At 37.8% G+C, this 16,489-nt stretch overlaps 1 protein-coding gene and 1 pseudogene across 5 annotated transcripts in view; one reads left to right on the plus strand and one right to left on the minus strand.

The window, feature by feature from the left end:
- GPC3 (glypican 3) overlaps positions 1-16,489 on the minus strand; it is a 449,850-nt gene that overhangs the window by 216,208 nt on the left and 217,153 nt on the right. For all 5 annotated transcript variants that reach the window (NM_001164619.2, NM_001164618.2, NM_004484.4 and 2 more), the window contains one exon: positions 1,530-2,224. In NM_001164619.2, the coding sequence (NP_001158091.1) occupies positions 1,530-2,224 (695 nt within the window). The remainder of the gene's footprint in view (positions 1-1,529; positions 2,225-16,489) is intronic.
- On the plus strand, positions 10,768-11,801 carry RPSAP63 (ribosomal protein SA pseudogene 63; annotated as a pseudogene).

Raw genomic sequence — 16,489 nt, forward strand, 5'->3', positions numbered from 1 at the left:
ATCATGGCTCACTGCAGCGTTGATCCTCCCACTTCAGTCCCCCCAGTAGCATGCCACCATGCCTGGCTAATTTTTTGTATTTATTTATTTATTTATTGGTAGAGATGGGGTCTGTACGTTGCCCAGACTGGTCTTGAACTCCCAGCCTCAAACAACCCTCCCGCCTAGGCATCCCAAAGTGTTGGGATTACAGGCTTAAGCCACAGCACCTGGCCACATATATTTCAAAGTAGCTAGAAAAGAAGAATTTGAATGTTTCTAGCATAAAGACAAATATTTAGGTGATAGATACCCCAATTATATTGATTTGACCTTTACAAATTGTATGAATGTATTAAACTATCACATGTCCCCTGAAAATACGTACACATATTGTATATCAATGAAAAATAATTAGCAGAAAGCAGAAATAGAATATTTCTAAAACAGAAAAATAAAACAAAACCCAGCTTTTAGGTTTATTAAGACTGATTTCATGGGTTACTATGAAATGATATTATGTAAACTAGCCAGCATAGCACTTGAGATGTAGTGGAAGCTCAACAATGGTAGTGTAATATACTATTCTGCCACCTCCTTCTACAAAGCTGGCAGCATTCAGGAATCAGATACTACCTTAGGGAAACTGACTGGTAACTCTTGGCTACATGTTCTGCTATATATTGGAAGTTGGTATCTCCCGAGATTCCGTTACTAACAATATCTGACTGAAACCAAGGAAACTGCTGCCTCACTCACAGAACTTCCCTTCCTCCATCACGAATTTCATCAGACTTAGACTGATATAATCAAGGCTATAAACAAAACCATTGGAGAACATGGATTGTTTGCCTTGCTTATGTGCTTGTGAGGTTTAATTAGTGAACTCTAGCTGGGTCTTTTGTGTTTGAAGTCACTACTCAAAATGCTAATGTGATATACATGATTGAAAACACCAAGAGGAAATTAGAATCAGAAAAATTGGTGATAACCAAATTAAAGGGAGACCTGGTCAATTTCTGAAGCATGGCTCTTCCACTAACTTTACGTGGGTGCTCTTAGGCAAGTTGCAATTTCACTTAAGCTTCAGTTTCCTCATTTATAAAATGAAGATAATAGCTCCCACTTCACAGGCTTGTCATCTATTGTGTATCAATAATGAGGATTATGATAACTGACAATAATGCTAATAATAGCCAACATTTATCGAAGACTTACCACATACCAGACACGTGCTAAGTGCTTTAACAAATGTCATTCCCTATGAAGACGATATTCTTTTTATTTCTATTTCATGAATCAGAAAAATGAACTCATAAAGATAAAATGACTTCCCAACATCGCACAGTAAGGAAGTAGGTGGAGCCAGGCTTTACGATTGCATAGCCTGTGGTCTTAATATGCTGCCTAACTCTGTGAGGTCATTCAGTCCATCATCACCCCTTCCCCACCTTCCAATTTTGTTCTCATTTCTCTCCATCAGTACCTGCTACTGGCCACCTCACCCCAATAAGGCCCAAATCCTCTGACAACTGTAGACTGGTACTCACAGTGGTGGTCAGCTTTCCTGCATTCTTCTGGACATACTGGATAGAATCATGGATTGTTGAAAAGAGACCAAGCAGTACGTTCTCCATGTCATAGATTCTGTACATGCCATTCACAAGTTCTTCAAGGGACAGAATGTATTCTCTCCAGTACTTGTCAATCTCCACCACACCTGCCATACAGCCTTGCATGACCACATTGCAGTAACCGCCACAGGGTTTAACCATCATCAGTCCCTGGCAGTAAGAGCAGTACCACATTCTGGTGAGCATTCGGCCACAGTCCTTACTGAACTTCAGGTGATCAGTTGTGTTGATCACTTCAATTCCAAGATTCAGAGCCTGAAGGAAGATCCTAGTGACTTGCAGTGACTTGGAAACCTGGGTCATAATAAGCTTGGGGAAATTCCCAAATACTTTCAGGTCACGTCTTGCTCCTCGGAGGCACTCATTGATGTCCAAGGCTGAATCAGGCAGGCCTGGGTTCATTAGCTGGGTATAGATGACTGGAAACAGGCTGTCAAACAATTCATTGACCATGTCATCTACATTGATGTCAGAACCCAAGATGTAGAGAGACACATCTGTGAAAAATTCACCCACAAACTCAAAAGCTTGTGGAGTCAGGCTTGGGTAGTTGTTCTTGAACATGGCATTGGTGTAGTTCTTGGCATGGCGAACAACAATTTCAAAGGCCTCTGTAAAAAAAAAAAAAAAAGAGACACAAAAATGTGTACAAATTAAAGCATGAAAATCCAGTGTGAAAATGAATTTGAGACTTCTCTATTGCTGTGGTGATTAAGGTCCCATTTGCGTTAAATAATTGACTCTCATTCATTTCTGGCATTGCCTCTACTCTTGCAGTTGTTTGCTCCTATAAATCAATTTTCCTTTCTGAACATGAAGTCCAGATTCTGATGTGCACATAAATTCTTAAACACACAAATTATATTTCAAATGACAAAAGCCAAGATTCAGTTAACATTTCGGCCTTTCATGAAAATATTGATTAAAAATTGGCTAAATGAGAAGTTATTTCTCTTTCTCACACTGATTTATTCAGTTAAAAAGAAATTGTATTTCAGGACATTTCATTTTTAGACAGAGATAAATATTTGACAACAAACCATACATTGTATAAACTCACACAACAATTTAAGCCTGTTTAGCCCTGGAGGGGAGGCAAGTTCCTAGCCAAGAATAAAAGCTATCACGAATTTAATCATTTTGGTAGATTTTCTCCTGATAACTTTAAAGAGAGCTTTCTGACAGATTGCCAGACCTGGAAATGGAATCTATCCAATGCATTTGTATCTGGGTGGAAAAATAATCCATGTGCTTATCTATCATTTGGTATTGAAAACAACACCTCTGGTATTTGCAAGCTGAACATCCGGAGGGATAACTACTAAGCTTCCTTGCTAAGTTCAGCTTCCACATGGCTTGGAAGCCTTATCTGCTCTACAGAGACCACAAATTCATGATTACATCTGCTGCCCCAACCCCTTTGCATAAAGCCCAATCAGTGTCATTGGTTTGAAAGAGAAAGTAGTAATGTCACCATCTCATTTTCTCCAAACTGAAACATCCCAGACCCAAATTATTTCAAATAATCAGAGTCTACATTTACATGAGGGAAGGAAAAACAACCACAATAGGCTTTTGAAGAAATAAGACAGAGTTTAAAAACAAAAATAGCCAAGTTTCCTGAGACACTTAAAATTAACTTAGTCCTTCCTTCCATTTCCTTCCAAAGTGCAAAGGTCCATGACAGATGTACTCCAAATGATGCCAGTTCATGAGCCTTGAAAAATCGAATTATTACCACTTTTAGACTACTAGAGAGACCATACTCCAACAGTTCCTTGGGATCACTTAGTCCAACATTTCAGTCATCTGTGGCAGAAGTGAGCTCTAGGTTGTGCTACCACCATCTGCCCCAGATCCCTCCCAGAGTAGAACATGCTCCCTAGATTCTTCCCTTGGGCTTATGACATGCCCAGCAATGTTGAACAATTGCCAGTGTAGTTCTATTGGGTTTCCAAGCTCACTTGAGAAAATAATGAGTTTAAAACAAAACTTAACTTCCTACAAAAGGTTTTTGAGTATATGTGTACTGAGGGCAGTGAGAGTGTAACAGTCTCTGAGGGACACTAGCTTGCACTGATTACTTTGCAGCTGTGTGTCCCTGGGGAAAAAAAATCTGCCTTTCTGTAAGTTGTTGAATGTTCACTTGGTTTTTTTGTTTGTTTGTTTGTTTGTTTGTTTAGAACATTAAGCAATTCCTAGAAAGTTGCTCTATCTTATAACAACTCTCCAAACTCCACATGCTACTTTAGTCTCAATCCTTGTTTTCTAAAAGCTGGATGAGGCCAAGAGATTATCTAGCCCAATACAGAGGACCAGTCAACAAATTCGTTAAAATCATCAGAAATTTGGAGATTTGAAACTATTCATTCATTTTAATTTCAGCTAGCAATCACTTGTTATATATCAGACTCTGTACTAGGTGCTAGAGGCACATAAATGCTGGGTAGATGGAGATAAATGATAAACCATCCTTGTTTCAGAAGTATTCACAAGCTATATGGTTTAGAGTTTACAAAATATTCTCAAGTATATTATGGCATCTACTTTTTACAACAATCTTTTAAGTTTGGTATTACAACTCCCATTTTATATGCGACAAAATTGAGGCTCAGTAGAGTTAAAGCATTTTCCCGTGGTCACACAGGAAAGTAGAAGCAATCAGCACAAACTAGTGTCTTCCATAACAGTTACACGCTTGCTGCCTTCGACCTACAGCCAATACATATAGTCTCAAAAACCTTTGCAGAAAGTACAGTTCTATTTTAAACTCATTATTTTCCCATTGGCTTCCCATCTTCAAATGGAAACATACTAGAAGAAATTGCAACCCAAAGACCAACAAAGCAGAGTCACACCTTTCACCTTTGCCTTTGTGCAGAATGAAGAGAAGGGAAAAGACTGCTGTGGATATGCCACTCCTGTAGATCTCAATCATCCAAGCATCCCTAAAATGAATTCTATACAAGGCAAGCTTTATCTCAAGTACAGTGCATTCATTCTCCAATGTGCAAGATGTACAACAGCAAGATTCCATTGACTGTACTGTCATAACATTTTTAAAAGTTTCTGTTACTAGCACTCCTAAATCAATAGAAAAAGAAAATTATAAAAGATCATGAACTCTTCTGCAGAAAGAATAATCACAATGCATGTTGCAGGGGAAAAGGGCTAGGGGTTTACTTTGAACCTCAAGCTCATATGTGCTCCCTGCTCCAACTTCCGCAGCTCAGAATCCACTTAGCACATCTCTGGGCTTTGCCCAACCCACTTACTTCTGTATCACAGGACAACAAACCAAGCCATAACTGGTCAACTAAAGGCTCCTGGGAGACTTATAGAAACCAACACTAGGCGAAAAGCAATGCTCAGCTTTTCTTGGCAACTTAAGGTTTCATGAAATGAAATCAAGGGCTAGAATTACTGCAAAGAAGTTCAGCTCACTGATTTTTTTGGTCAGATAATAAGGTACACTTCAACTAGGGGAGGTTTCCCTCTGCCTCTTTCCTGGGAAGAAATCAAGGGTTATATCCAGGAAAAATTTGAACAAACAATGTAAAATCAGAGCTATCATGAACATTTTGGCATTGGATAGAAAATATTCTAATTTTTTACAACATAAAGAAAAATAAGTGGTGCAGGCAAATAGACTTAATAAATTCGGGTTAATACATGTCCTAATATAGCAAGGTTTCTAGATATCTAGATGCCCCATTATCATTCTGGTCACCACCCTTTGGACATGCTCCAGTGTTGTCAATGTCCTCCTTAAATTATGGTGTTCAAAAAGGGATACAATTCTCCAGATGTGGCTTGATGGTGAAGTGTACAATCAGGGTATTACCTCTCTTTAAATGGTTCAATAACTTCTACTACCCCCCAGGACATATAACCTATCACTGTAGCAAAATGACTGTCTTTAGTATTTGATACTGATGTTCCTGTATTCAGACTCAGACAGGAAGAAATGTGTTTTTATGGGCCTTTTCAGTAGTAGCTGGGTATTTAAAAAAAGGAGAATATACTTGTGTTTGGAAGAAGAGAGGAATAAATGAACCATGGAATCTCTTTCAAGCCCTTTAGGGTAAGGCAGTCCTTATAGAAGCAGGTTATTTTTTTTCAAGGCAATTTTTCCAGCACTGTAAGAATGGCAAATACTTAAGAACTTTTTATGTTCCTGGTATAAATGCCTCACAATGGGTTAGAATAAAAAATGGTCCTTGTTTTCAAGCTTAGGTACCTTAACGGAAGGAAGAAAAGTAATATTTATGAAGTAACTGCAAGGTACATGCCAGGATCTGTGGTAAAATTGGTCATATCACATGAAGTTTCTGTTTATGTCCTTTGCACACTTTTATGCAGCCAAAACACATATGAAAAAATAGCTCAAGATTACTGATCATTAGAGAAATGCAAATCAAAACCACAATGAGATACCATCTCACACCAGTCAGAATGGCAATTATTAAAAAGTCAAGAAACAACAGTTGCTGGTGAGGCTGTGGAGAAACAGGAAGGCATTTACACTGTTGGTGAGAATGTAAATAAGTTCAACCATTGTGGACGACAGTGTGGTGATTCCTCAAAGACCTAGGGGCAGAAATACTATTTGACCCAGCAATCCTAATACTTGGTATACACCCAAAGGAATATAAATCATTCTATTATAAAGATACATGCACATGTATGTTCACTGCAGCACTATTCACAAGAGCAAAGACATGGAATCAACCCAAATGGCCATCAGTGATAGAATGCATAAAGAAAATGTGGTACATACACATCTTGGAATACTATGCAGCCATAAAAATAAACAAGATCATGTCCTTTCCAGGAACATGAATGGAGCTGGAAGCTGTTATCCTCAGTAAATTAATGCAGGAACAGAAAACCTAACACCGCATGTTCTCATTTGTAAGTGGGAATTGAACAATGAGAACACATGGACACATGGGGGTAAACAACACACACTGGGGCTTGTTGAGGCAGGGAGGGAGGGAGAACATTAGGAAAAATAGCTAATGCATGCTGAGCTTAATACCTAGGTGATAGGTTGCTAAGCACAGTAAATCACCATGGCACACGTTTACCTATATAACAAACCTACACATCCTTCACATGTACCCTGAAACTTAAAATAAAATTAAAAAATAAAGAAAACTAGGGAAAAAATCAGTTAATGTAATCCATCACATCAACAGCCTAAATAAGAAAAATCATATGATCATATGAGTAAATGCAGGAAAAACATTTGCTGTTTTTCCTGCCAATATCCTACATCATTCATGATAAAATCTCTCAGCAAACTAGAAACAGAGGATAACTTTCTTCACTTGATAAAGAACGTCCACAAAAAATTTTACAGCTAGCATCATGCTTAACGGTGAGCAACTGCATGCTTTCCCCTTAACATCAGGAACTAGGCAAGAATGTCCCTATTTCAGCACTCCTATTCAACATTATACTTAAAGTACTAGCTACTGCAATGAGACAATAAAAGGAAATAAAAGGTGTACAGATTGGGAAAACTACAAAACTCTGGTAAAAGAAATAAAAAATATCTTAATAAATGAAGAGATACTCCATGTTTATGGATAGAAAGACTCAATATTATTAAGTTTTCAATTCTTTCCAACATGATCTATAAATTCAATGAATCCCAATCAAAATCCCTGCAACTTATTTTGTGGACATCAATAGTAAAGTTTATATGGAAACATAAAAGACTCAAAATAGCTGTAACAGCACTGCAAAAGAACAAAGTTGGAGGACTGGCATGACCTGAATTCAAGAATTCCCATCAAGGTACAGTAATAAAGACAGCTTGGTATTGGTGAAAGAATTGAAAAACAGATCCATGGAACAAAATACAGAGCCCAGAAATAGACCCACACAAATACAATAATCAACTGATCTTTGACAAAAGAGCAGAGACAATTCAATGGAGAAAGAATAATCTTTGCAACAAATAGTGCTGAAACAATTGGACATCCACATGCAAAAAATGAATCTAGATATAGACTTTTCACCTTTCATAAAATTAAGTCAAATATATCATAGACATAAACATAAAATGCAAAACTATAAAACTTATAGAATGTAAAGTGGGAGTTCTTGGTGACTGACCTTAAGTTTAGCAGTAAGTTTTTAGATATAACAGTAAAAGCACAATCTATGAAGTTGAAAATTGATTAGTCAGACTTATCAGGCACTAAGCAGAAAAACATCCATTCTGCAATGTTAAGAGAATGAAGAGTAAAGCATATGTCAAGAAAATGAAAAGACAAGCCACAGACTAAGAGAAAATATTTGCAAAACACATGTCTGATAAAGGCCTTGTATCCAAAACACTCAAAGAACACTTGCAATTCAACAGTAAGAAAACAACCCAATTAAAAAATGGGCAGAAGATCTGAACAGACATCTCACCAAAGAAGATATACAGATGGGGAAAAAAAACTAGAAAAAGATATTCAATATCATATGTTATTAGGGAACTGCAAATTAAAATAACAATGAGATACCATCACAAAGCCATTAGAATGGTTAAAATTCATAACACTAACAACAAATGATGGCAAAGAGGCAGAGCAACAGGCACTCTCATGCATTGCTGGAGGGAATGTTAATACAAATGGTACAGCCACTTTATAAAGCAGCTTGGCAGTTTCTTACAAAAGTAAACATACTCTTACCATGTGATCCAGCAGCTGTGTCCCTTGGTGGTTACCCAATTTATTTGAAAACTCATGTCTACAGCAAAACCTAGTGCTTATAGCAGTTTTATTTATAATCACCAAAACTGGAAGCAAACAAGATGTCCTTCAATAGGATAAATAAGCTGTGGTACATCTATACACTGGAATACTATTCAGTAATAAAAAGAAATGAGAGATTAAGACACAAACAGACATGAAGGAACTCTAAATGTCTATTGCTAAGTGAAAGAAGCTAGTCTGAAAGGCTACATACTATATGATTCCAACCATATGACATTCTGGAAAAGGCAAAACTATAGAGACACTAAAAAGATCAATGGTTGTCAGGGATTTGAGAGGGGAGAGAACATGGGAAAGTAAGTGAAGCATGGGATTTTAGGGTGGTGAAACTATACTGTATGATACTGTAATGAAAGATACAAGACATTATGCATTTGTAAAAAATTATAGAACCATGCAATACAAAGAATGAACCTTAATGTAAACATATGGGCTTTGGTTAATAATAATGTATCAATATTGGTTCATTAATCATAACAAATGTACCAAACTAATGCTAATAATGTTAATAATAGAATAAGTCCTGTGCAGGGAAGAGGGAGTACACAGAAACTCTGTACTAACTGCTCTATTTTTCTTTAAATCCAAAACTGTTCTAAACAAATAAGGTCTATTAATCTTTTAAATTTTTTTTTTTAAAAACTAGATCTTGGAAATTAGCCCTTGATGGAATTAGTGACTAGAACCACTGAAGAGTGTTAAATCACTCCCTCTTTTTCCCCCTCGATCTGCTTTGACATTTCTTTCATGATTTAGGGAGTTTTCACATACAATAGATGCCATATGGCATCAATGTAATTTTAATTGAAAAAAACCACTGGAAAAGGTTAATGGACCCAAACAGCCAAATAGGTAACACATTTCAATGTTATTTTTAAATACTAAATGATTTTTTAGAAATCAGCCACATAGAAACTGCAAGCTAAGAAAAGCCTCACATTTTAAAAACTAAATAATAGAGAAGACACTAAAAGTGTTGCTCCAATTTCTGTCAGATTTTTCTGGCATTTTATGTTTCACATTAATTTAACTAGAATGGACAAAGCTTAGAAATAAGTTGCTATTAAATATAAGCAATTTATTTGTGCAGATCCATGACCAGCCTGTAAATATATACAGTCTTGCTTTTTAAATTTCACACACTAGGCTTCTAAATACAATGTACATCAATGAGGAACAGAAGAATGAGTGAAAGAAAGAAGAAATATATGCTTTTCACAGGCTATTATATATATCATTTGATAGATAGATGGAGAGATAGATAGATACAGATATTTCCCTAAAGGCTATTATAGATCAGAGAGAACAATTAAAATAATTCAGTCAAAGGGTCCTCAGAAATGAGAAGTGAATAGCTCTAACTACTAGAAAATGTATGAGTCTGCAACAATTGACCAACTCATTAGCCCAACTAGCTCTTCTCGTTTACCCACCATTAGCTTTCCTGAACAACTAGTTTATTTTAACCTTCTGGACACCATAATTTGGGTAACTCATCATTTTTCCCTCTTCACATTTATTACTAGAACGCTTAGGGCCAAATTTATGGTCTGCTTCTATCAAGCATAATAAACTTCATTATGTACTTTGTGTCATAATCTTACACCTGGCTCCATCTTACATTCCCCTTTGCCTGATAGTTCCTATGTATTTCAGTTGCATTGCATCTTACATTTATTATGCACATATTTGTAGAGCACTTTAAATTCCTCTGGGGACAAAGTAGGATAAAAACAAATAGGTAGGTAAATAAATAAGGAGAAGGAGGGAGAGGAGCTATGCCTACCACTTAAAGAAAAAATACCATTTCAACAATGTTTTCTCACAAGTATGAGTAGCAACTATAGAAATGTTTATGTTTATAAATGGCAAACACCTTGTCAGGGACTCATTAGCAGTTCAACACTGTCTTCCCTAGCAGTGGTCAAAGCTCTTGGTTGACATTCTGGACACTGGCCTTGGGAAAGAATTTATGAGTAAGTCCTCAAAAGCCATTGCAGCAAAAACAAAAATTGACAAGTGGGACCTAATTAAACTAAAGAGCTTCTGCAAAGCAAAAGAAACTGTCAGCAGAGTGAACAGACAACCTACAGAGTAGGAGAAAATATTCGCAAACTATGCATCGACAAAGGTCTAATATCCAGAATCTATTAGGACCTTAAACATTTGAACAAGCAAAAGACAACCCCGTTAAAACATGGGCAAAATACATGAACACACACTTCTCAAAAGAAGACATAAAAGTAGCCAACAAACATACGAAAAAAAATGCTCCACATCACTAATCATCAGATAAATGCAAATCAAAACTTCGATGAGATACCATCTCACACCAGTCAGAATGACTATTATTAAAAAGTCAAAAAACAACAGCCTTTCCGCCCTGCCCACAGAGGGGTCCATACAGCGTTTTTCGGGATTCCTGTCCTAACTCAGAGGAAAACTTTCACAACGTCCGGAGCCCTTGATGTCCTGCAAATGAAATAGAAGGGTGTCCTTAAGTTCCTTGCAGCAGGAACCCACTTAGGTGGCACCAGCCCTGACTTCCAAATGAAACAGTACATCTATAAAAGGAAAAGTGATGGCATCTACATCCTAAATCTGAAGAGGACCTGGGAGAATCTTCTGCTGGCAGCTCGTACCATTGTTGCCATTGAAAACCCTGCTGATGTCAGTGTCATATCCTCCAGGAATACTGGCCAGAGGGCCGTGCTAAAGTTTGCTGCTGCCATGGGAGCCACTCCAATTGCTGGCCGCTTCACTCCTGGAATCTTCACTAACCAGATCCAGGCAGCCTTTCAGGAGCCGCAGCTTCTTGTGGTTACTGACCCCAGGGCTGACCACCAGCCTCTCACAGAGGCATCTTATGTTAATCTTCCCACCATTGCTCTGTGTCACACAGATTCTCCTCTGTGCTATGTGAACATTACCATCCCATGCAACAACAAGGGAGCTCACTCAGTGGGTTTGATGTGGTGGATGCTGGCTCAGGAAGTTCTGCACACGCGTGGTACCATTTCCTGCAAACGCCTGTGGGAGGTCATGCCTGATCTCTACTTCTACAGAGATCCTGAAGAGACTGAAAAAGAATAGCAGACTGCTGCTGAAAAGGCTGTGATGAAGGAGGAATTTCAAAGTGAATGGACTGCTCCAGCTCCTGAGTTCACTGCTACTCAGCCTGAGGTGACAGACTGGTCTGAAGGCGTGCAGGTGCCCTCTGTGCCTATTCAGCAGTTCCCTACTGAAGACTGGAGTGCTCAGCCTGCCACGGAAGACTGGTCTGCCGCTTCCACTGCTCAGGCCACTGAATGGGTAGGAGCAACCACTGGTTAGTCTTAAGCTGTTCTTATATCAGCTCTTAAGCAACATGGAAATAAGGCTGACAAAAAATAAACATCAGTTTCAAAAAAAAAAGTCAAAAAACAACAGATGTTGGTGAGGATGCAGAGAAAAGGGAATGCCTATGCACTGTTGGTGGGAATGTAAATTAGTTCAGACACTGTGGAAAGCAGTTTGGAGATTTCTCAAAGAACTAAGAGTTGAACTACCATTCAACCTAGTAATCTCATTACTGGGAATATACCCAAAGGAAAATAAATCATTCTACCAAAAAGACACATACACTCACATGTTCATCACAGCGCTATTCACAATAGCAAAGACATGGAACCAACCTAGGTGCCCATCAATGGTGGACTGGATAAAGAAAATGTGGTAGATATATACCATGGAATACTACACAGCCATAGAAAAGAATGAAATCATTTCCTTTGCAGCAACATGGATGCAACTGAAGGTCATTATCCTAAGCAAACTAATGCAGGAACAGAAAACCAAATACCACATGTTCTCAATTATAAGTGGGAGCTAAACATGGGGTACTCATGGAAATAAAGATGGTAAGAATAGAAACTGGGAACTACAGGGGTGGGGGTTTAAAAATTAACTACTGGATACCATGCTTCATACGTAGGTGATGAGATCAATCATACCCCAAACCTCAGCATCACACAATATATCTATATAACAAGCCTGCACATGTATCTCCTGAATCTAAAATAAAAGCTGAAATTAGAAAAAATGCCCTTGGTTGAATCTATGTATATGACCCTTCCAAAATCTTCCAACTTTTTACTTTTTCCACATCTTAAAAATGTGAGTCAAATGTAACAATGTTAAAATTAGGGAGTTGCTAATAAGGCTACCTTCATCATCGCTCAGAATGTGTCTGGTTTCACACTGGGTTCAGGAAAAAGACACCCTTGAAAAAGCAGGAAAGTAGCTAAACAGAACAGCGTAGGAGAATCCCACATGAAAACTTGTTTCTTAAATAGATAAAACTTTAAGAACAGTTTGTCTTGTAAAAGCCACTGGGGTTTAGAAACCCGTTTTACTGTGGACACACCAAGAATAACTCTGGATCTTGTAACAGAATCTTGGGGATCAGTATTTTTTGTGCTGTCATCTCGATGAGTTATTTCTGTTATAAGTCATGATCCTTAGCCTTTTTTCATTCTTCTCTGTCTCCCAGGATTTCATTTGGATCAGCTAATTCTTGGTTGATTGGAAAATAGTCTTACTTATTCAACATTCTCACGGCTAAGAAATGACACCTACGAAGAAGTATCAGGATCACACTCTTAGATTTTTTAGTTCATTCTTTACAAAAGAAAGCCTGATGGTACCCAAAGAAGTAAAGTTCTACTACAGTTCTTCCAATAATCCACATACTGAGTAGTTAAAAGGCTCCCAGGACTCACCAAATCATTCTATTTAATTAAAAACTTTTCTTTTTTAAAAAAGGTCATTCTCCAAAGAGTTTATGAGGAGAGGACATGGATTACTCCAAACAGCCATGCGAAGACTGGATTATATCTTAGCTAGACCAAAAAAAATCACTAACATATATTCTACATCTGGCTATTGTTTTCTCAACTTGTGAATTTTTTAATAGCGTATCACCATAATTCCACAAATCAAGGCTAAGGAGTTTCTTCTCTCAAGCACTTACTGTTACTAACCATAGCTTAGGAAAATAAAAATAGGCTTTTGAGTAAGTATTGAATGAAAGATTCTGCACCTTAAAAAAGGAATAGCTGCATTTAAAGGTTTAAATGCAAACATTCTGGTAGTGCCTTTATCTAATAAAAAACCTGTATTTCTTTTCAATATCCTGTAGTCATTGAAAAGAAAGAGCCAAACATCTAGGGGACGTTTTGTGTTATTATTAGGACAATTAATGTGTGCATTTTACATAGCCTTGCTCTTATATGCTCTTCTTTCCCTCTTAAACCACTCAGACACTAAATTAATATCCTAAGAAAGGTCAATTGCCAGTAGTGTATGCAACCATTGTTGTTGAGAGCACTGTGTCTGTAACTGTTATTAAAGATTTCCATAGCACTTTTTATTTCTGCAAGTGCTTTACAGCCAAATCTTCAGTGATTACAAAAGCAACAGACTCCTCTTACCCGTTGTTATTGGAAGGTGCATTCCAGCCCTCCTTTCCATCATTAATGAGAAGTATCATATCTGAATTGGCTTAACATTTATACACATACCCCCTCCCAAAGCCTTAGTCATTCATATACTTAACAAGTACTAACTGAGCACTCATTGTAACAATTTTCTTTTGACTCTTTACAGATAGAGAGCCATAAGACTCACTGCCTACTCTCTTGTTAATGATAAGGTAGATCTGAGATAAGCAATCCCAAGCCCCAAAGGCTTGGGCTATTGCTTCCCTTGGTGACTCATACCACAGTCTCTAAAGATGTGTCCAATACAAATTTCAACTTGTTTGGGACCTAAATTATCATAGGCCCCTGACATTAGGTAAAGTCAGCAACATTAACCACTTGCTGAAAAACTACTTAAAGACCATTTTTGAGGCATCTTTGCTGTCTCATTAGATTGACTGCACTTGTGTAAATACATTTTTTCCATTTAATATTTACTGAGTGTACACTCTCTGCTAGACTGTGAATAAAATATGCAAACAACTTATCCCTGGGTCCTAAAGGCTTGCAATAGCCAGCTATAGCCAGCTGTGATAAATACAAGATGGCCTATCTCATTTGAAAACCATAAAATACCATATAGTTATAAAAGTATTAATCTATTTTGTTCTGGGACTCTTTTATAGCTTAAGTATACATAGTATACATGGCAACAGATCACCATATCTGCAAAATGCCTCATGTAATTTCAGATTTTAAAAATCTGTGTTCTAACTTAATTTTCTCTTTCTCTATCATTGAATGTGAGCATGTGTGTATGTGTACTCGTGCATGCATGTGTTTGAACAGTCGCTAAGGGAAACATTATTATCCCAATTTCACAGACGAGGTAACCGAAACTAAGACTGGCTCCAAATCATATAGCTATGTAGTAGATGGTGGCAGCAATGAAACACAGAACTCCTATTTGTCCAATATTTTTTCCATTATGTCCATCTTCTTCAAGGGCAAATATTGCAGAGCACTTCAAGATTAGCTTTAGGTATAATAAGAACTAGCATCCTTGGAGCATTTACCATCTGCCAGGCAGTGTTTCAAGCGTTTTATGTGAATTAATTTATGTAATTATCAGAACCACCCTGTGAGGTGAGTATAGTATTGTTTTCATTTTACAGATAAGAAAACTGAGGCACAGAGAAGTAACTTAGAAAACTTATACAGACAGTAAGTAGAACAGCCAAGATTTGAATATAAGCAGTTTGAATCCAGAGCTTACCTACTAAATTACTATGTCACAATGCTTCCAGATATAGGTAGTTTGTCTATTTTTCTTTTTTCTTTTCCTTTTGGTTTGACTCTAAGTAAACTTAATACCTCAGCTGTTTGGCTACACTGGGTCTACTAAATATTTCAGGAAAATAACTCTACAACTTGGGTAAGATGTGATGAACTATGCAAAAATATGAATGATTCCAACTACTTACCAACAACAATAATTCCCCAGAAATGCATTACCTGTGTTGCCTTAGAGTCATGATGAAATGGAAATTATAAGAAAATAAGTGAAAAAGGTCAATATTGTGCATTTCCTAGGGATTACTGATACAGGTATGAAATCTCAGAGCTCTCAACTCTAACCATAAAACTCTGCTATTTAATTGGAAAGCTAGCCTTTGCAAAAAGGCCAGGCTCTCCCTTGAGTCGCAGTTCGTTCAAAGGGCTACTGGCAGAAACAAGGCTCAAGGGCCAAGATCTTGACAGTTTCTTAGGACTCAGTTTCCTGCAGGGTATTCCAACACATGAAACACAGGGAGGATGAAGGCCAGGGGACTGTTGAAGGCTGGCATAGTTAACTCAGGGGAAGAGAGCTGCTCAGGTGTACTCAATGGGCTCCGGAAGCAGGCGAAGACTTAACAGGAAGGTAACCACCACCACAGGGACTCCAGCCAAATTCAATGGCAGGTGGGCAGGGGTGGCACACAAGCAAAGTTCAACCATGCAGCTTTCCCCTGAGCCTGCCCAAAAGAAGGAATGTTTCACCTTCAGCCAACTGCTCTTATATTCTATAAACATTATAAAATGATTTTTGCATCCACATTAGAACTGAGTTGTATGTACGTGTGTGTTAGGGAGTCTGTGTGAGAGAATAGGGTGGCGGGGTGGGGGGGTAAATCTCCAGGATTAAGGTTATAACCTGACAAAATAAGTCAGCTGGTAGGAAAATAGCCGTGTTGCTCTAATGAAGTTCTTAGTCTAGCTGGGCACGTTAGTCTCTGTTTCCCCCAGTTGTCTTACAAGGCCATCGAGGCACTAAAGCAACCATGTAATTTATCATTATTTGATTGCTGAGGAGTTTGATAAATTCTGGATGCATCTCCAAAAGTCTCTAATGCCTATACGCAGAGGGGGAAGAGTTTCACAATTTACTGAGCATCGAGCGCCTAAAGTAAAGAATTCACTCTCCAGGAAGAGCTCGAGAGTAAGTAAAGATTGACTCCATGGACCTTTTCATGAAGCAAAACTTTTCTCCTTTTTCCAGCAGGTCTTTGCAACCTCTTTTTGACATTGCCTTTGCTTAAAAAGAAAATTATTGTCATGTATCCAAAACTAGAGTATATACATACCTGAACACTACCTA

The sequence above is a fragment of the Homo sapiens genome, chromosome X (assembly GCF_000001405.40).
Source record: "Homo sapiens chromosome X, GRCh38.p14 Primary Assembly".
Taxonomy (NCBI): Eukaryota; Metazoa; Chordata; class Mammalia; order Primates; family Hominidae; genus Homo; species Homo sapiens.